This window comes from Homo sapiens, chromosome 22 (genome assembly GCF_000001405.40).
Source record: "Homo sapiens chromosome 22, GRCh38.p14 Primary Assembly".
NCBI classification, from domain to species: domain Eukaryota; kingdom Metazoa; phylum Chordata; class Mammalia; order Primates; family Hominidae; genus Homo; species Homo sapiens.
This window is the reverse complement of record NC_000022.11, coordinates 38,318,114-38,337,463: the sequence shown is the minus strand read 5'-3', so window position 1 is coordinate 38,337,463 and position 19,350 is coordinate 38,318,114. Positions and strand designations below refer to the sequence as shown.

Below are 19,350 nucleotides of genomic sequence, written 5' to 3'. Positions count from 1 at the left end.
GGCCGGAGTGCTGTGGTGCGTTCTCTGCTCACTGCCACCTCCCCCTCCCAGGTTCAAGCTATCCTCCTGCCTCAGTCTCCCAAGTAGCTGGGACTACAGGCATGCACCACCACACCCAGCTAATTTTTGTATTTTTAGAACACACGAGGTTTCACCATGTTGGTCAGGCTGGTCTTGAACTCCTGACCTCAAGTGATCCACCCACCTCTGCCTCCCAGAGTGCTGGAATTACAGGCATGAGCCACCACGCCTGGCCAGAGACCCCATCTCTACAAAAGATGGAAAAATTAGAAAGGTGTGGTGCTCGCCTGTAGTCCCAGCTACTCAGGAGACTGAGGTGGGCAGATGGCTTGAGCCCAGGAGTTCGAGGCTGCAGTGAGCCGTGATCACACCACTGCACTCCAGCCTGGGCAACAGAGCAACACCCTCCCTGCTTCAAAAAAAAAGTAAATAAAAAGATCTCCACAATGAACAGGTATTCTGCATGACTTCCTTGGAAGAGATTTCCAGAAATGGAATTGCTGCCCTAAGGCAAACGCTAATTTACGACTCTTGGGCAGCTGGAACCTGTCCGACAGAGCGGAGACCCTTATCTCTGCCACCACCAGCAGGCTGATATTTTCAAGAAAAAAATTTGCCAAATACAAGCAGTCTCAGATAATACAAAGAAGATGGAAAGTTTCCGGAGCGCAGGTGTCAGATCCAAAGATAACTTGACCCAAACACCCCGATCTCCATGTCCCTATCTCTCTCTTAGGTGTTGGAGCGGGCCGGAGAGAAGTAGAGTGGGCTGCGAGGAGAAGGAAACAGGCCTTTCGGAGGCTCCTCATCCCTCGGAGGTCATCCCTTACTCCAGGTGATCTGAACCTGAAGTCCGAGGCCCCAAGAGTTCTAAGTAACCCAGGGGTGGAGGTGGGGTGGGGGATCCCAGCTCTTTCCGATCTGGGAGATCAGAAAGATGCTCATCTGGGAGAGTGGGACCTCCCCTTTCAGTCCGCCCACCCCCGAGGACCGCACTTGGAGGGCCGCACTTGGAGGACCGCGCCTCCAAGGCGGGCGCGGCTGACGCCCGGGGCCCAGGCCATGTGGGGCGTGCGTGCCGGGAGAAGTGTCCCAGCGCCTCACCCCGCAAGCATGAGAACCACGAAACCCCCGGGGCCGGGAAACCGGGGCGGGGCGGGGCGGGGCGGGGCCGGGAAGCGGCGCGGGGCTGGGCCGGTGACGTCGCGGCCCCGCCCCCGGCCGGCTCCCTCCTCCCGGAGCGCTCCCCAGCGGAGTCCTCACCTGCAGGCACAGGTGTGCGCACTTCGCATCTCGAAGGCCGGCCAGCAAGCTTCAGGTGAGCGCCAGCAGCAGCTGGGGGTAGGTGCTGGGAGGAGGAGGGCCCGGGGTGGGGGTCCTCACTCGACGGAGAGGAGAACCGGGTCAAAGGAGAGGAGGAGGAGGTGGGCGTGGGTCTGTGGAGATACTGCCTGCTCCCCCCAAATCCTCCCTTGTCTCTGGGTTATAGTCACGTTGTCCTGAAAACGTAGACTTTGGAGGGAATTGAAGGAGAGGAAGTTGAAGAGGAAGCAGCAGGTTTCCAAATATTTCAACCGCAAATGTATTGTTATCATTCTTCTTATTATTTATTTGTTTGTTTTGTTTTTTTGAGACGGAGGCTCACTCTGTTGCTGGCACGATCTCGGCTCACTGCAACCTCTGCCTCCCGGGTTCAAGAAATTCTCCTGCCTCGGCCTCCCTAGTAGCTGGGATTACAGGCATGCACCACCACGCCCGGCTAATTTTTGTGTGTTTTTAGTAGAGACAGGGTTTCGGCTGGTCTCCAAACTCTGACCTCAGGTGATCCGCCCTCCTCGGCCTCCCAAAGTGCTGGGATTACAGGCGTGAGCCACCGCACCCGGCCCTATAATTCTTTTTATTATTATCATTATTATCATTGGTGCCTTTTCTTTGTTGTAAAACTGTATGCCGATTGACTATTTGGCAAATGTAGAAAAGTAGGAAAGAAATCATCCATAGTACCAGGACACAATCACTCTGGATATTTTGGTGTGTTTCCTTTCAGTCTTTTTTCCATGCACAACCATTTTCATATAATTTTATCATACTGTATCTGCAACTTTTATGTCCTGCTTTTCCCTTGAATATTGTGTCATAAGCATTTTCTCGTTGTGGTGAGTCATTTGTGTATGTGTAATCATTGTTTTAATGGCTGCATAATGTAACATTTGAGAGATTGACCATGGTTGGGTACCATTCTGAACACTCCATGGAAGATTATGAAGGGAGACCGGGAGATGTAACAGAAAAAAACAGGCCAAGACCTCCACCGCCAACACTGGGATCTGGATAAAGACCTTTGCTCTCTCTAACCATGAGTTTCCACATCTGGAAAGTGGGTACATAGAGCTACCTCCCCAGGGTGTTGTGAAGATTAAATGAGCTAAATTATGTAGGCCCTGTCCCCACAAACACCGCCATCATGGGTCTGGCAGAAAAAGGGTCTGCATGTTTGTGTGTTTGTAGAAAGGACTTGGACCAACTGAAGGTATTGAGGGACCAGAGAACGGGAAGTGCTGGGGAGAGAAGGACGGGGATGAGCTCTTGGGAAAACCCCCAGAATGAAGACATCTCTGAGTCTGGGCCAGGTGGACACGAACCACTAGGTCGGCGCATATCCGCTCCTTGTGGGCTGGGAGCAGACAGGATCCCTGAGCCAGGGCCAATGACCTCCAGGCCTCCAGATGGGTTCGCCCCTTTGGGATGAGTTTCTGGGCAAGCTTCAGAGTGAGGGGATTAGAAGAAAAATAGGAAGGGGTGAAGGTGGGGCATAGTAACCAACCCCTTGTACAGATGAGGAAACAGGCTCAGAAGACAGGTGATTTGTTCAAGATCCACATGGGAAACAGTAACCGAGTCGGTTTGGCCCCCAGGGCTCCTAACTCCCTCAGGGGTGTCTACACCAAATGCCTGGATGGGGGAGTTAGGGAGAGGAGGATGTCAGGGCTGGGTCATCAGCTGTACTTGTACCAGGCTAATCTTTGCTTAGAGAAAACAGAAGTCTCTGTGCTTTGGGCCTCCGTTTCCTCAACTGTGAAATGGGAATAATAACTCCCCAGCTACCTACTTACCAGGCCCTCCTCCCACTTTGAAAGGCCTGCTCAGTCTCTGACTGTACACCCCCACCCTGGCCCCTCATCTTCTTAACTCCCTGGCCATCTTCAGAGGGGGTCTGGGTGCTGGGAACCTGTGGCCACACCTCAGTGGGATAGGAAATCCCCATTTCCCAGAGCCATCCATTTCTAGACCCTGGGGGGCTTGCTCCGTTTCTCTAACCGGGCTTTTTTGTAATGTGCACCCACAGCACGCTCTCACTGGATGAGAGCAAAAGGGCTCTGAGCCCTGTTGGGAGTGTCTGAGCATTAGCATTAAAATAATCTTGTAGAAAGGGTCTGTGACCCCCCCCTCAAGGTCATCCCTTTCTGCCTGGCTTGCCACTCCAGGACAGGAGTCTGGTTAGCAGGCTCCCCTAACAATTGGGTATCCAGGGGTCTCTGATGTTCTAAAACAGAATTAGGACAGTCATCTTCCAATTCACAGAAAATTGGAAGTGGTTCATTACATAGTCACAATGTTAGTCATTTGGAATAACAGCACCAGGACCCAGAAGCAAGTCGCTGCCTTGGGCCTGGGAAATGACACTTTCTGAAACTTTCACAGCCCCACAACATGTCTGTTCAAAAATCTGATAGCTAATACTTATTGAGGACCTCGTGTGGCTGTCTCTTGTTCTAGGCACTTTAGAGTCATTCTACGAAATGGATACATATTATTTAATTTAATTTAATTAATTAATTTGTTTTTGAGATGGAGTCTCCCTCTGTTGCCAGGCTGGGGTGCAGTGGTGCGATCTTGGCTCACTGCAACCTCCACCTCCCGGGTTCAAGCGATTCTCCTGCCTCAGCCTCCCGAGTAGCTGGGATTACAGGCACACGACACCATGCCTGGCTAATTTTTTAATTGTAGTAGAGATGGGGTTTCACCACGTTGGCCAGCCTGGTCTCGAACTCCTGACCTCAGGTGATCCACCCGCCTTGGCCTCCCAAAGTGCTGGGATTACAGGCATGGGCGACACAGGGAGACTCCATCTCAAAAAAAAAAAAAAAAAAGATACTGAAACTGAGGCACAGAAAGGTTAAGTAAGTTGCCCAAGGGAAGCCAGGATTCAATCCCAGTCTGTCTTAACTCCAGACCCCTCATCACTAGGCTACACTGCCTCTCTAACCTAAGAGGGTGTCTGACATACATCTGTGTTCTCAGACATCTCTCTGTTGTTTTCTGCACAAGGCATCAGAGCTTTCCCGAAGAATCCCTGCACTCTGTCAGTGTCTACTGACATCCCTGTCTCTGTCTTAGCCCTGCTCACACTAATTTATAATGACCAGTTCCTAGGTTTGGGTCTCCTTGAGTAGGTCAGCTCCACCGTGCAAGACCCATGTACATTTCATCTCTGGACCCACCGAAAGGCCCAGCCAGGCCCAGCTCTGTAGCTGAATTAATAACTAGCCAGGCCAAGGCCCTGTAGGTGAATTAATAACTGCAGCTACTATTCACATGCCAGGCTCTGAGCTACGGGCTTTATGCACAGCAGCTCTTTGATTTATTATTATTATTATTATTATTATTATTTTGAGATGGAGTCTGACTTTGTCGCCTGGGCTGGAGTGCAGTGACACGATCCCAGCTCACAGGAACCTCCGCCTCCAGGGTTCAAGCGATTCTCCTGCCTCAGCCTCCCAAGTAGCTGCGATTATAGGCACCAGCCATCATGCCCAGCTAATTTTTGTATTTTTGTAGAGATGGGGCTTCACCATGTTGGCCAGGCTGGTCTTGAAATCCTGATGTCAGGTGATCCACCCTCCTCAGCCTCCCAAAGTGCTGGGATTACAGGCATGAGCCACCTCGCCTGGCCACAGCAGCTCTTTTAATCCCCACTGAGGTGGGTGCTATTGCCACCGCCATTTCTTAGATGAGGAAACTGAGGCTTAGGAAGGTCCTATAAACTCATCCAGCCACATAGCCTGGAGCTTAAAGTAGCCAATTAAGAATTTGAATCCAGCCTCTTGAAGCAGAGTGTTGTTTTTTTTTTTTTTTTTTTTGAGACAGGGTCTTGCTCTGTTGCCCAGGCAGGAGTGCAATGGCGTGATCATGGTTCACTGCAGCCTTGACCTCCTGGGCCCAGGCGAGTCTCCCACCTCAGCCTCCCAAGTAGCTGAGGCCATGGGCATGCACCACCATGCCCGACTAATTTTTTTTATTTTTGTAGAGAGAGAGTCCCCTATGTTCCCAAGCCTGATCTTGAACTCCTGGGCTCAAGTGATCATCCTGCCTCGGCCTCCCAAAGTGTTGGGATTACAGGCGTGAGTCACTGCGCCAGCCTGAAGTAGTCTTTATCATTGCTGCCCCTCAAGTGAGAACTCGTTCCAGGGGTCTCCAACACTAATGCAAACTGTGGTTGCATACCCCATCTGGGAAAATGTTTTTGATCTGCAGGACTACATATGAAAGGAAACAAAATAAAGACTGAAAAAAACCCACAAAAATATTTTTGAGCATTCGTTTTGTATTTAATTGTATATTTAGTATTTATAACTTAGGTATATGTGTTCTGCTGTGTTCATAAGCACATTATAAAACATACATTAGGGGCTGGGAACAGTGGCTCATGCCTGTAATCCCTGCAGTTTGAGAGGCTGAGGTGGGCTGCTCACTTGAGGCCAGAAGTTTGAGACCAGCCTGGCCTACATGGCAAAAACCCATCTCTACTGAAAATACAAAAATTGGCCAGGCACGGTGGCTTATGCCTGTAATCCCAGCACTTTGGGAGGCCGAGGTGGGTGAATCACCTGAGGCCAGGAGTTCGAGATCAGCCTGGCCAACATGGCAAAACCTCATCTCTACTAAAAATACAAAAATTAGCCGGGCATGGTGGCTTGCGCCTGTAGTCCCAGCTACTCGGGAGGCTGAGGCAGGAGAATTGCTTGAACCCGGGAGGCGCGGGTTGCAGTAAGCTGAGATCGCGCCACTGCACTCCAGCCTAGGAGACAGAGCCAGACTCCGTCTCAAAAAAAAAAAAAAAAAATTAGCCAGGCGTGGTGGCACAGGCCTATAGTCCCAGCTACTCGGGAGGCTGAGGCATGAGAATCGCTTGAACCTAGGAGGCAGAGGTTGCAGTGAGCAGAGATAGAGCCACTGCACTCTAGCCTGGGCAACAGAGCAAGACTCTTCTCAAAAAATAAATAAATTTTTAAAAACCTACATTGAAGTAGAATATTTAGCGGGCTCAGATTAAAAACTGAAGAATACAAATTCTGATTTTTTTTCTTCTTACACCCCACTGGGTTAGTTAGTGAACCTGATGGGGTGCAGACATCTGCCTGGGAGTCAGCTACCTTAACGGTCACCAGAATCCCTGTGCTTCTGGAGTGGTGGATCGGACTTGTGGTGTCCTGAGAGGGGTGCCCAGTTACCATGCATTGAGGGAGACAAAGGCAGAAGGTGCCCAGTCCCCAAGGCAGGGTGAGGCTCCAGGCTAGGTCTGGAGAGGAAAACAGAAGTTCTTCCTAAGCGATTTTTTTTTTTTGAGATGGAGTCTCACTCTGTCACCCAGGCAGCTAGAGTGCAGTGGTGTGATCTTGGCTCACTGCAACCTCTGCCTCCCGGGTTCAAGTGATTCTCCTGGCTCAGCCTCTTGAGTAGCTGGGGCTACAGGCACACGCCACCATTCCCGGCTAATTTTTTGTATTTTTTAGTAGAGATGGGGTTTCACCATCTTGTCCAGGCTGTTCTTGAACTTCTGAGCTCGGGCAATCTGCCCGCCTTGGCCTCCCAAAGTGCTAGGATTACAGGCATGAGCCACCGCGCCTGGCTGGCTTTTTTCCTTTTTTTGAGACGGAGTCTCTGTCTCCCAGGCTGGAGTGCAGTGGCATGATCTTGGCTCACTGCAACCTCTGCCTCCCGGGTTCAAGCAATTCTCCTTTCTCAGTCACCCAAGTAGCTGGGACTACAGGAGTGAGCGACCGTACCCAGCTAATTTTTTTTTTTTTTTTTTTGAGACGGAGTCTCGCTCTCTCTCCCAGTCTGGAGTGCAGTGGCGCGATCTCGGCTCACTGCAAGCTCTGCCTCCTGGGTTCATGCCATTCTCCTGCCTCAGCCTTCCGAGTAACTGGGACTACAGGCGCCCGCCCCCACACCCTGCTAATTTTTTGTATTTTTAGTAGAGACGGGGTTTCACTGTGTTAGCCAGGTTGGTCTTGATCTCCTGACCTCGTGATCCACCCGCCTCGGCCTCCCAAAGTGCTGGGATTACAGGCTCGAGCCACCGTGCCCAGCCTTTTTTTTTTTTTTTTTGAGATGGAGTTTTGCTCTTTCACCCAGGCTGGAGTGAAGTGGCGCAATCTTGGCTCACTGCAACCTCCACCCTCTGGGTTCAAGCGATTCTCCTGCCTCAGCCTCCTGAGTAGCTGGGATTATAGGTGCCCGTCACCATGCCAGGCTAATTTTTGTATTTTTTTTAGTAGAGATGGGGCTTTGCCATGTTGGCCAGGCTGGTCTCGAACTCCTGACCTCAAGTGATCCACCCGCTTCGGCCTCCCAAAGTGCTAGGATTACAGGCGTGAGCCACCGCGCCTGGCCAATTTTTTTTTTTTTTTTTTTTGGACGGAGTCTTGTTCTGTCACCCAGGCTGGAGTGCAGTGGCACAATCTCGGCTCACTGCAGCCTCTGCCTCTGGGGTTCAAGTGATTCTCCTGCCTCAGCCTCCTAAGTAGCTGGGAGTACAGGTACGTACCACCATGCCCAGCTAATTTTTTGTGTTTTTAGTAGAGACAGGGTTTAACCATGTTAGCTAGGATGGTCTTGATCTCCTGATCTCGTGATCTGCCCACCCCGGCCTCCCAAACTGCTGGAATTACAGGCGTGAGCCACTGCGCCAGGCCCTTCCTAACTTTTATGCATTATTTGGTCAGATTCTCTTAAACTCTCTGAGCCTCGGGTTTCCTCCTTTTTTTTTTTTTTTTTTTTGACAGGATCTTATTCTGTTGCCCAGGCTGGAGTGCAGTGGCATGATCTTGGCTCATTGCAGCCTCGATCTCCTGGCCTCAAGCGATCCTCTCTCCTCAGCCTCCTGAGTAGCTGGGACCATAGGCATGTGCCACCATGCCCAGCTAATTTTTTTATTTTTTGAATAGAGACAGGGTCTCCCTTGTTGCCTGAACTGATCTTGAACTCCTTGTGAACCTCAGGTTTCTACCTGCAAAATGGGCAGGGTGATCTCCAGCTCACAGGATTCCTGTGGCATTTATTAAACCAGATTCAGTGCTGAGTACCCAGTGGGGAGCCTGCACGCTGTCCATCCAGTAAATCCTAGTTTTTTTCTCTCCTCTTGTCCATGAGCAAAACTCTAAGCTGTTCTGAGCAAAGCCATTGGCTAAATCTCCTAGTCAGCTCCTGGGATTAGAGATCCTCTTACCTCTTCCATCCTCTTCAGCCTTCTCCCCTGAGGGAGGCCTGGGTGCCATTTGACTGGTCTCCCCACAGTGGGCCCTTCCCACCCCCAAATATCCGAGGTTCCTACCGTTCAGCTATTGCTCAGGGCTGTTCCTTCCCCCCAGCCAACCACCATCCAGATCCCCCCTACATTTATTTATTTATTTATTTATTTATTTATTTAATTTGTTTATTTTTTATTGAGACTGAGTCTTGCTCTGTCACCCAGGCAGGAGGGCAGTGGCACAATCTTGGCTCACTGCAACCTCTGCCTCCCTGGTTCAAGTGATTCTCCTGCCTCAGCCTCCCGGGTAGCTGGGACTACAGGTGCGTGCCACCACGCCCGGTTAATTTTTTGTATTTTTAGTAGAGACGGGGTTTCTCCATGTTGGTCAGGCTAGTCTTGAACTCCCGAGCTCAGGTAATCTGCCCGCCTTGGCCTCCCAAAGTGCTGGGGGTACAGGCGTGAGCCACCGTGCCCGGCATCCCACCTACTTTCAAGTCCTGCCTCCTCCCTTCCACCCCCGTGTCAACTTCAGAATTTCTCTATAGACAGGGCTTAGGGAGACAGTCTGATGGCAGGGGAAGCAGGGGTCGGAGACTTGTCTCAGTGCTGTATTTGTGTAGCACTTCACATAAAATTACAAGAATAGCAACTGCCCACATCACAAAATGCCCAGGGCGAAGGGGAGACGGCTGCTCGCCAGCCATTGGCACCACCACTGCCCCCAGACACTGACTTTCCTGTGGCGGTCACTGTCTAGCGTATTCTCTCAATACTGTAGGACCCTCTTTTTTCTTGTGTCTATTCAGCCTCTCCTGTCGGATCGTCAGCTCCTGGCAAGCTGGGGCCGGCGCAGACCTCTGAGGCCCTGCAAGGAGTTGGCATCAGGAAATGCTTGTGGGTGAACGTGTGATGTGGCAGGATGATGAGTCGCACCAACTATGCCGAGCGAGGAGCGCTGCTGTGGGCATCGGGATTATTAGTCGCAGCAATCATCCTCATTCCCGGAGCCCAGCTAATGAGTGGTTGTGTGAGCTGGGAACGGGAAGCCCTGGCTTCTCAGAGGACAGAAGGAGCAGGTTTGGGCGCTGGTTGACTGCAGCACAAACAAGGGATGTTGTGATGAGCAGAGGGGTCAGAGGAGCCCATAGGGCCGGGGGTGACAGGCCAAGCTGAGGGAAGGAAGCAGGCAGAGGTGAGCTGGAGGCCGGGCACGGGTGGCCCTTTGGGGATGCCAAGGATTTGTGTAGTGCTCCCTGCTCCTGGGGACACGTGACAGGCGCTCCTGGCTCCTCTGGGAGTTGCAACAGCACAGGGAATGCTGAGTGGAGCAGGAGGACAGAGGGCCCCAGCAGAGCAGGAGGACAGGCAGCCACCGTGAGAAGGGATGGGTGGGGCAAGGTGGCCCTGAGGGAGGGCTGTTAGGGAACATCTGGCTCAGGATGGAAAGTGTCAGGCCCTGCCTTCACCCCTGAGATCACACACACAACATCACCATTGCACAAGTATTTACGGGGCACCCATGACCAGTTGGGTACCCACAGGAGCACCTATGGGAGATTTCTCTGTCTTGGAGAGACCCTAAGAGCATTAAAAATGAACAAGTTAATGTTTCAGCCAGTCATAAGTACCATGAAGAAGATAAAGCAGCTGGCCAGGCACGGTGGCTCACACCTGTAATCCCAGCACTTTGGAAGGCCGAGGCGGGCGGATCACGAGGTCAGGAGTTCCAGACCAGCCTGACCAATATGGTGAAACCCCGTCTCCACTAAAAATACAAACATTAGCTGGGCGTGGTGGTGCGCGCCTATAATCCCAGCTACTCAAGAGGCTGAGGCAGGAGCATCGCTTGAACCTGGGAGGCGGAGGTTGCAGTGAGCCAAGATCGCGCCACTGCACTCCAGCCTGACGACAGACTGACTCCGTATCAAAAAAAAAAAAAAAAAAAAAAAGCAGGATATCCCCAGTACAGGAAGGACAGAGGGGAAGGAAGCCCACTGAAGACCAGTCAAGGAGGGCTTCTGTGCAGAGGTGACTTTTGAGTTGTGATCTGAGCCCTGAGTAGGAGGCAGTCATGGAGGATTTGGGGAGATCATTGTAGGCAGAGGAACAGCCAGGCAAAGGCCCTGAGGCATGGTGAGATGACAGACAGTGAGGGAGGGAGAGTGAGGTTTGAAATGGGGTCTGAGGCAGGCAGGGGCTAGATCATAGCAGGCCCTGGGAAAGAATGTGAATTTCATGCTAAGGGAAGAAGGAGCCACTGGTGTATTTTCAGTAGCCACAGTCAGATCTCAGTGGTTAACAGGCCACTGTAGTAGCCAAGTGGAAGACACACGTGGTAAGAGTGGCTGGGTTCAGAATCCAGTTGGAAGGTAGAGCTCATGGGAGCTGCTCAGGTTTTGAATATGGGGGTAAGGGGTGCGGGGAGAGCCGTTTCCCACTGAGCCCAGATTTGTCACCTCAAGGTCTTTCTCAGCTTAGTGCCCGGGATGTGGAGTGTAGGGTCCTTGCCCATCCAGCCCTGCCCTTAGCTTCAGCTGGGGAGACTGAGAGCTTTAGCACTCACTTTGTCCAGCTCCTCAGAGAAGGGCTGTGGATTCTCCAAGGTCGCGCTGAAATTCAGACTGACCAGGGACCAAACCCAGACCTTGCTACCCTGCCCTGCTGCCTCTCCGCTGAAGATGGAAGAGGAGGGAGGAAGCCCTGGCAGGAGTGACCTGACCGGGCACGGCCCAGTGGTGAGGTTCCCTGGAAGAAGTGCCTGAAAAGAGAGCCTGGGGCCAAAGCTGTGCCCTGGGAATAGTGAGGGGTGGGTAGGATGTCATGGAAGGGTCTGGGGACAAAGAGCCAAGGCCTAGCTGGGTAAGGAGAGGAGAGTGCCCCAGGACAGCATCTTCAGGCTGGCAGGGCTGGGGGCGGGGGAACCTCTGGAGCCTGTGGGCCACAGACTCTCCATGAACAGGGCCTGAAAAGGGGAGGACCCTGAGAAGCTTCCCACCGGGGCCTTCGAGAGCCAAGACCAAGATGGGCAAGGCTAGCAGCTCCCCTGGGCCCAACTAGGTTTGCATATCTCCAACTCCCACCGTAGAAGGGGCTGGCGGTGGCCCCTCCAGAGGAAGGGTGACAAAAGGAAAGGAGAGGCGGGGGATACAGCCTGCAGGGCTCAGGTGCTCAGAGGAGCCCAAGTCAGGAGCCCTGCATTGAACTCTGCTCGGCTCCTAAGAATAGCAACATTGTAATGTAAGCATCTTCCTCTTACTCAGGGCTGCTTCTGGGCTACATTGTTTTTGTGATTTATATTATCCCCATTTTACAAATGAGACTCAAGAATTTTAGGAACTTGCCTAGTGTCACACTGTTACAAAATGGGAGGATACTATTTGTTTTTTTGTTTTGGAGACAGAGGAGTCTCCCTCTATTGCTCTATCGCCCAGGCTGGAGTGCAGTGGTGCCATCTCAGCTCACTGCAACCTCCACATCCTGGGTTTAAGGAATTCTCCTGCCTCCCAAGTAGCTGGGACTACAGTCACCACCACCATACCATGCCAGGCTAGTTTTTTATTTTTTATTTTTTAATTTTTTTTTTTTTTTTTGTATTTTTAGTAGAGACAGGGTTTCACCATGTTGGCCAGGCTGGTCTCGAACTCCTGAGCTCAGGCAATCCACCCACCTTGGCCTCACAAAGTGCTGGGATTACAGGCATGAGCCACGGTGCCTGGCTGCAGAATACTATTTGAAGCTAGCTTCTTTTTTGTTGTTGTTTTTGTTTTTTTGATACAGAGTCTTGCTCTGTCACCCAGTCTGCAGTGCAATAGCGGGATCTCGGCTCACTGCAACCTCCATCTCCCAGGTTCAGGTGTTCTCCTGCCTCAGCCTCCCGAGTAGCTGGGATGACAGGCGCACGCCACCATGTCCAGCTAATTTTTGTGTTTTTAGTAGAGACAGGGTTTCTCCATGTTGGCCAGGCTAGTCTTGAACTCCTGACCTCAGGTGATCCGTCTGCCTCAGCCTCCCAAAGTGCTAGGATTACAGGTGTGAGCCACCGTGCCTGGTCGCAGAATGCTATTTGAAGCTAGCTCCTTAACCATGTGGAGCTGCCATCACATGCTGCCTGTGACCTTGGACAAGGCTCATTCCTTCATTGGGCCTCAGTGTCTCTATCTGTAAAACAGTGGAGGGGGGCCAGGTATGATGGCTCACGCCTTCAATCCTAGCACTTTGGGAGGCTGATGGGGGAGGATCACTTGAGGGCAGGAATTCGAGAACAGCCCAAACAATGTAGTGACCCCATTTGGGCAACATAGAAACCCTGTCTCTATAAAACAACAAACAAAATTAGCCTGTGGCTGGGCGCAGTGGCTCACGCCTGTAATCCCAGCACTTTGGGAGGCTGAGGCGGGCGGATCACCTGAGGTCAGGAGTTCGAGATCAGCCTGGGCAACACGGTGAAACCCCGTCTCTACTAAAAAAAAATACAAAATTAGCTGGGTGTGGTGGCACATGCCTGTAATCCCAACTACTTGGGAGGCTGAGGCAGGAGAATTGCTTGAACCTGGGAGGCGGAGGATGCGGTGAGCCGAGATCACACCATTGCACTCCAGCCTGGGCAACAAGAGTAAATCTCCCGCTCACCAAAAAACAACAACAACAACAAAAAACAAAATTAGCCTGTGATGGTGGCATACACCTATAGTCCCATCTACTCAGGAGGCTAAGGTGGTAGGATCGCCTGAGTCCAGGATTTCGAGCCTGCAGTGAGCTATGATCATGCCACTAAGTTCCAGCCTGGGTGACAGAGCAAGACCCTGTCTCTAAAAAACAAAGAAACAAACACAAAATGAAAAAAGCAGTAGAGTGGAATAAATGAAGCTTGTAGCTCTCCCAACTGGAGTCCACAGTTCCTTCTGTAGCGGATGGGTTCAGGGGCAGGAGCCTGATGGGGGACACCTAGGGCTTTTCTTGAAATCATGTCCACAGCGGGGCATGGTGGCTTACATCTGTAATCCCAGCACTTTGGGAGGCTGAGGCAGGTGGATCACCTGAGGTCAGGAGTTCGAGACCAGCCTGACAAACATGGTGAAACTGCATCTCTACTAAAAATACAAAATTAGCCAGACGTGATGGCACATGCCTGTAATTCCAGCTACTTGGGAGGCTGAGGCGGGAGAATCACTTGAACCTGGGAGGCGGAGGTTGTAGTGAGCCGAGATCGCACCATTGCACTCCAGCCCGGGCAACAAGAATGAAACTCCATCTCAAAAGAAAAAAAGAAATTATTTCTTTTTTTTTTTTTTTTTTTTGAGACGGAGTCTCACTCATCGCCCAGGCTGGAGTGCAGTGGTGCGATCTCAACTCACTACAACCTCCGCCTCCCGGGTTCAAGCGATTCTCCTGTCTCAGCCTCCCAAGTAGCTGGGATTACCGGCGTGAGTCACCACGCCTGGCTAATTTTTGTGTTTTTAGTAGAGGCAGGGTTTCACCATGTTGGCCAGGCTGGTCTTGGAACTACTGACCTCAGGTGATCCGCCCACCACAGCCTCCCAAAGTGCTAGAATTACAGGCGTGAGCCACCACGCCCAGCCAAAAGAAACTATTTCTTCCGTTAGCCTGGGAGAGTGGTTAAGGGCACAGACCCTGGCAGGCCACCCCCAGCCCCAGCCCCCGAGGGTGCAGTGAGAGCTGACCTCGTCAGTACAGGCCACGTGTCTCTAAAGAGCCTGGCGAATGGTGGGTGACAGCACTTGGAGTTGGTCAGAGATCAGGAGGCTGTCTCCTCACCGTCCATTCATTCACTCATCCAGCAAATCTTTGTTAAATACCTCCTATGTGCTGGAATAGATCCTAGATATTGGTGATACAGTGGTGCCCAAAATAGCATTAACTCCTTCCCTTTATGCAGCTTAGACCCCAAAGTAAGGAATGCAGACAAAAAAATAAAAATTCCCTGCAGAGCATGTTAGATAGTGATGTGGAGTTCCCTACAGAGCATGTTAAATAGTGATACAGGCCAGGAGAAAAAGAGACAGGCAGCAGAGGCCCGGCCCGGCCCGGTGGCTCATGCCTGTAATCCCAGCACTTTGGGAGGCCAAGGCGGGTGGACCACCTGAGGTCGGGAGTTCAAGATCAGCCTGACCAACATGGAGAAACCCTGTCTCTACTAAAAATACAAAATTAGCCGGGCGTGGTGGCACATGCCTATAATCCCAACTACTCGGGAGGCTGAGGCAGGAGAATCGCTTGAACCCGAGAGGCGGAGGTTGCAGTGAGCCGAGATCGCGGTGAGCCGAGATCACGCCGAGCCGAGATCGCGCCATTGCACTCCAGCCTGGGCAACAAGAGCAAAACTCTATCTCAAAAAACCAACAACAACAACAACAAAAAAACAGAAACAGACAGCAGAGAAGGGGAAGGCAGTGACCCATGGGGATGGGGTTTTATTATTATTATTATTATTATTTTATTTTTAGTAGAGACAGGGTTTTCCATGTTGTCCAGGCTGGTCTCAAACTCCTAACCTCGTGATCTGCCTGCCTCGGCCTCCCAAAGTGGTGGGATTACAGGCATGAGCCACCGAGCCTGGCCTATTTTTTTTTTTTTTTTGAGATGGAATCTTGCTCTGTCATCCAGGCGGGAGTTCAGTGGCACGATCTCGGCTCACTGCAACCTCTGCCTCCCAGGCTGAAGCAATTCTCCTGCCTCAGCCTCCCAAGTAGCTGGGATTACGGGCGCACATCTCCACTCCTAGCTAATGTTTGTATTTTAGTAGAGATGGGGTTTCACCATGTTGGCCGGCTGGTCTCAAACTCCTGACCTCAAGTGATCCACCTGCCTCGGCCTCCTAACCAAAGTGCTGGGATTACAGGTGTGAGCCACTGTGCCTGGCCTTTATTATTATTATTTTTAAATTATTTATTTATTTTTATTTTTTGAGACACGGTCTCACTCTTTTTTTTTTTTTTTTGAGACAAGGTCTCACTCTGCTGTCCAGGCTGGAGTGCAGTGGTATGATCAAGGGTCACTGCAGTCTCAACCTCCTTGGGCTCCGGTGATTCTCCCACCTCAACCTCCCAAGTAGCTGGGACTACAGGCATGCACCACCACACCCAGCCACCATGCTCAGCTAATTTTTGTATTTTTTGTAGAGAGAGCATTTCGCCATGTTATCCAGGCTGGTCTCAAACTCCTGAGCTCAAGCAACGCCTGCCTCTGCCTCCCAAAGTTCTGGGATTACAGGTGTGAGGCACCGCCTGTGGCCCAGCGCCAGGATTTTAAATTGGGAGACTGGGCCCAGACGTGGTGGCTCACACCTGTAATCCCAGCTTTTTGGGAGGCTGAGGCGGACGGATCACCTGAGGTCAGGAGTTTAAGACCAGCCTGGGTAACATGGTGACACCTCCATCTCTACTAAAAATACAAAAATTAGCCAGGTATGGTGGTGGACGCCTGTAATCCCAGCTACTCTGGAGGCTGAGGCAGGAGAATTGCTTGAACCCGGGAGGCGGAGGTTGCAGTGAGCCGAGATCGGGCCACTGCATTCCAGCCTGGGAGACAGAGCCAGACTCTGTCTCAAAAAATAAATAAATAAATAAACTGGGAGACCAGGAGGGCCTACCTCTGAAGGGGACTTGAGAAAGGTGAGAGGTGAGGGGGGTTGGTGCTCTGCGGGAAGAGCGCACCAGGCAGTGGAAACAGCCCCTGCCAAGGCCCTGAGGCCAGAGGTTCATTCCATGGGAGGCCAGTGAGGCTACAGGGCTGTGAGCAAGAAGAAAACTTACAGGAGCTGAGGTCAGGAGAGCCAGGTGCGGGGAGTGGAGGACAGATCCTGGAGGGCCGTTTTCAGGCCAGCCCTTGATGTTTAGTAAATCTATGAGTCCTTAGTCAAGACTGAGATTCCTGGGGCAGGTACTGAAATCTTTCTGGGTTTATCTGCAGCCATATCGTCATTATCTGGGAATTCCAGGGCTGTCCTTGGGATCCCAGCCCAGTGCTCCTGCGTGCCAAGTGATCTTGAAGGGTCTGAAATAGGGAGCAGGTAAAAAATGTCAGTTTGGGAACACAGTGGCTCACACTTGTAATCACAGCACTTTGGGAGGGCGAGGCAGAAGGGTCACTTGAGCCCAGGAGTTTCAGACCAGTCTGGGCAACACAGTAAGACCCCATCTCTATAAAAAATTTAAAAATTAGCTGGGTGTGGTGGTGCATGCCTGTAGTCCCAGCTACTTGGAAGGCTGAGGCAGGAGGATCGCTTGAGCCCAGGAATTTGAGGCTACAGCGAGGTATGATCCTGCCACTGCACTCCAGCCTGGGTGACAGAATGAGCCTCTAAAAAAAAGACAAAAGCCAGTTTGGAAAGGTGTTGTGAGAGCCACTATTCCTGAACCAATGCAGAGCAGCTGAAACCCAGGGTGGGCCCCTTGGGAGCTGGCAATTCACCCCACACCTATTCTAGCCTGATTTCATCTTCTTGTTGGCTTGCAGAGAAGGTAGCTAGGGGAACTTTGCCACACCCTTGGGTTTTTTGTTTTGTTTTGTTTTTTATTTATTTTTTTGAGACGGAGTCTCGCTCTGTCGCCCAAGCTAGAGTGCAATGGTACGATCTCGGCTCACTGCAACCTCCGCCTCCTGGGTTCAAGTGATTCTCCTGCCTCAGCCTCCCGAGTGGCTGGGATTACAGGTGCCCGCCATCGTGCCCAGCTAATTTTTTGTATTTTTAGTAGAAACGGGGTTTCACCGTGTTGGCCAGGCTGGTCTTGAACTCCTGACCTCAGGTGATCACCCGCCTTGGCCTCTGAAGTGCTGGGATTACAGGGGCGTGCCCGGCCCCACCGTTGGGTTTTAAAGTTAGGAGTTAAATCTGAGAGGAATCACTGTGAACCAAGTCGGAGAGAGAAGTCAGGCTGTGGGGCTGCTGGAACACGTAAGGTTTTGTTTTTCACTTTGGACCAGTCTCCCCTCCTCAGCTGGGTTTTGTGTCATGGTTTGCCTTCCCTTATAGCTTCACTGCAAAGCTCTTTGGAAGGGCCCACACACAGGTCTTCCAGGGATAGGAAGGACAAGGACTTGGGCCCACAACTCAGGCAGTGGACAACAGCATGTCCTTCCAATGGCAAGGCAGGGAGGCTCCCTAGCAGGCCTGGGGATGAGCCGGGCTCCTCAGCCTGGCTGGCCCAGGGAACTGAGCAGGATCTTAACTGGGGCAGGGGGTGGGGTGGGGGTGCTGGGGTGGGAGGTGTGGTTACAAGTCCTGAATGCAGAGGGGAGAACGTGAACGTGCTGCAGTCAGACCTGGCGATCTGGCTGGGTTAGGAAGGGGCAGGGGGTCTGTTCCAGCCAGGCCCAGTTTAAGGGAGAGGTTGATCTGTGCCCTTAGGCAAGCACTGGGAGGAGCCTGATTCCTTCTCTGAAAGAATACAGTGTAATCTGTTGTTGTTTGAGAGGATTAAATGAGATAACAAATAACCTCCTCTCCCAGGGCTGGTTGCCTTGAAAGTGCTGAAGAAGAGGAGGGCTTTGGGAAGCAGGGCCCAGGTTGGAAGGTTAGGGGTGGTAAGGACTGGAGGACACAGGGGCAGACTTCACCCCCTGCTCAATTGTGCCCAGGCCTCTCTGCCTGGGCTCATGTGAGGAAAGAAACAAAATGGGTGGCGGTGGGGTGGCGCTCAGGCCGGCTGAGAACTTGGGCCCAGAGTTACCGGATCTCCTAATGCCCCCAGAGAAACAGGGAATCTGGATCTGAAATATGAAATCTTCCAGTTTTAAAACTTTGGGGAGTGGCCAGGCATGGTGGCTCACGCCTATAATCCCAGCAGTTTGGGAGGCCGAGGCAGGCGGATCACTTGAGGTCAGGAGTTCCAGCCCAGCCTGGCCAACCCCGTCTCTACTAAAAATACTGTGTGGTCCTGGGCAAAAATTAGCCAGGTGTGGTGGTGCACATCTGTAATTCCAGCTATTCAGGAGGGAGGCTGAGGCTGGAGAATCACTTGAACCCAGGAGGCAGAGGTTGCAGTGAGCCGATATTGAGCCACTGCACTCCAGCCTGAGCCACACAGCGAGACTCTATCTCAAAACCAACAAAAACAAAAAGCAAAAAAAAAAAAAAAAACTTTGGGGATTAATTAACAAAACAACAACAGAAAGCACCGCGCAGGCCAAGTAAAGCCCACCACCTGGCTGGTGACCCCCTGCTCTGGCAAAGGTGTCACTGAAGGCAGGCCCTCCTGGGAGGAGGCTTCTCACTCTCCTGCTCTTGGAAATGGGCTCTAGATAGACCCAGTTTCCTGGTGATCGCTGGGAGAACAGAGCTGTCCTGTTGGGCTTTGTGGTCCTGGGCAAAGCCCTTCCCCTCTCTGGGCCAGTTTCCTGGCCGGCGAAAGGACTTAGTCTGTGGGGCTCCTGCCCGTTTGGACACGTGTGTGACTCAGTCCCTCAGCCTCGAGGAGGGAAGATACGGCTATTATAGAAGTGACTCCTCCCAGGAACTGTGCTTCCGGGATTGGACGCAGGGCCTCAGGCATTTTGCGTGTCCACAGTCACAACTGTGTGAATATAGGTGTGTCATAATTGGAAGCTTTGCATGGCTCAGTGTAAATATCATCACTTTAATGACTTTGTTCTGCAACCTTTCATCGCGGCTCTGCATGCCGGTAGAAGCTTTTATTAATTCTGTGACCTGGGGAGGACAGGGTCCTTCCTCCCATTTGCTGTTTAAGGAAACCCAAGCTCAGAGCTGGGAGGTGGCTTGGCTAAACGTGCACCACTCGGAGCCCAGACTCAAGTGTCGGTGCTTTGGTACTTGT

At 51.8% G+C, this 19,350-nt stretch overlaps 1 protein-coding gene across 1 annotated transcript in view, besides 6 other annotated features; it reads left to right on the top strand.

Annotated features, from left to right (window-relative positions):
- TPTEP2-CSNK1E (TPTEP2-CSNK1E readthrough) overlaps positions 1 to 19,350 on the top strand; it is a 108,225-nt gene that overhangs the window by 61,452 nt on the left and 27,423 nt on the right. The window contains exon 5 of the mRNA NM_001289912.2: positions 758 to 856. The gene's annotated coding sequence lies outside the window, so the exon portion shown is untranslated. The remainder of the gene's footprint in view (positions 1 to 757; positions 857 to 19,350) is intronic.
- Positions 9,437 to 9,948: an enhancer, noted in NCBI's record as "H3K27ac-H3K4me1 hESC enhancer chr22:38723521-38724032 (GRCh37/hg19 assembly coordinates)". NCBI's record gives its function as "activates a minimal SCP1, AML or CMV promoter by ChIP-STARR-seq in primed H9 embryonic stem cells {active_cell/tissue: H9 hESC(primed)}" and the evidence as "EXISTENCE:reporter gene assay evidence [ECO:0000049][PMID:30033119]".
- Positions 11,546 to 11,840: a silencer, noted in NCBI's record as "tiled region #8587; K562 Repressive non-DNase unmatched - State 24:Quies". NCBI's record gives its function as "represses a minimal TATA promoter and a strong SV40 promoter by Sharpr-MPRA in K562 cells {active_cell/tissue: K562}" and the evidence as "EXISTENCE:reporter gene assay evidence [ECO:0000049][PMID:27701403]".
- Positions 11,996 to 12,506: an enhancer, noted in NCBI's record as "NANOG-H3K27ac hESC enhancer chr22:38720963-38721473 (GRCh37/hg19 assembly coordinates)". NCBI's record gives its function as "activates a minimal SCP1, AML or CMV promoter by ChIP-STARR-seq in naive H9 embryonic stem cells {active_cell/tissue: H9 hESC(naive)}" and the evidence as "EXISTENCE:reporter gene assay evidence [ECO:0000049][PMID:30033119]".
- Positions 12,507 to 13,019: an enhancer, noted in NCBI's record as "H3K27ac hESC enhancer chr22:38720450-38720962 (GRCh37/hg19 assembly coordinates)". NCBI's record gives its function as "activates a minimal SCP1, AML or CMV promoter by ChIP-STARR-seq in naive H9 embryonic stem cells {active_cell/tissue: H9 hESC(naive)}" and the evidence as "EXISTENCE:reporter gene assay evidence [ECO:0000049][PMID:30033119]".
- Positions 14,399 to 15,190: an enhancer, noted in NCBI's record as "H3K27ac-H3K4me1 hESC enhancer chr22:38718279-38719070 (GRCh37/hg19 assembly coordinates)". NCBI's record gives its function as "activates a minimal SCP1, AML or CMV promoter by ChIP-STARR-seq in primed H9 embryonic stem cells {active_cell/tissue: H9 hESC(primed)}" and the evidence as "EXISTENCE:reporter gene assay evidence [ECO:0000049][PMID:30033119]".
- Positions 17,687 to 18,591: an enhancer, noted in NCBI's record as "H3K27ac-H3K4me1 hESC enhancer chr22:38714878-38715782 (GRCh37/hg19 assembly coordinates)". NCBI's record gives its function as "activates a minimal SCP1, AML or CMV promoter by ChIP-STARR-seq in primed H9 embryonic stem cells {active_cell/tissue: H9 hESC(primed)}" and the evidence as "EXISTENCE:reporter gene assay evidence [ECO:0000049][PMID:30033119]".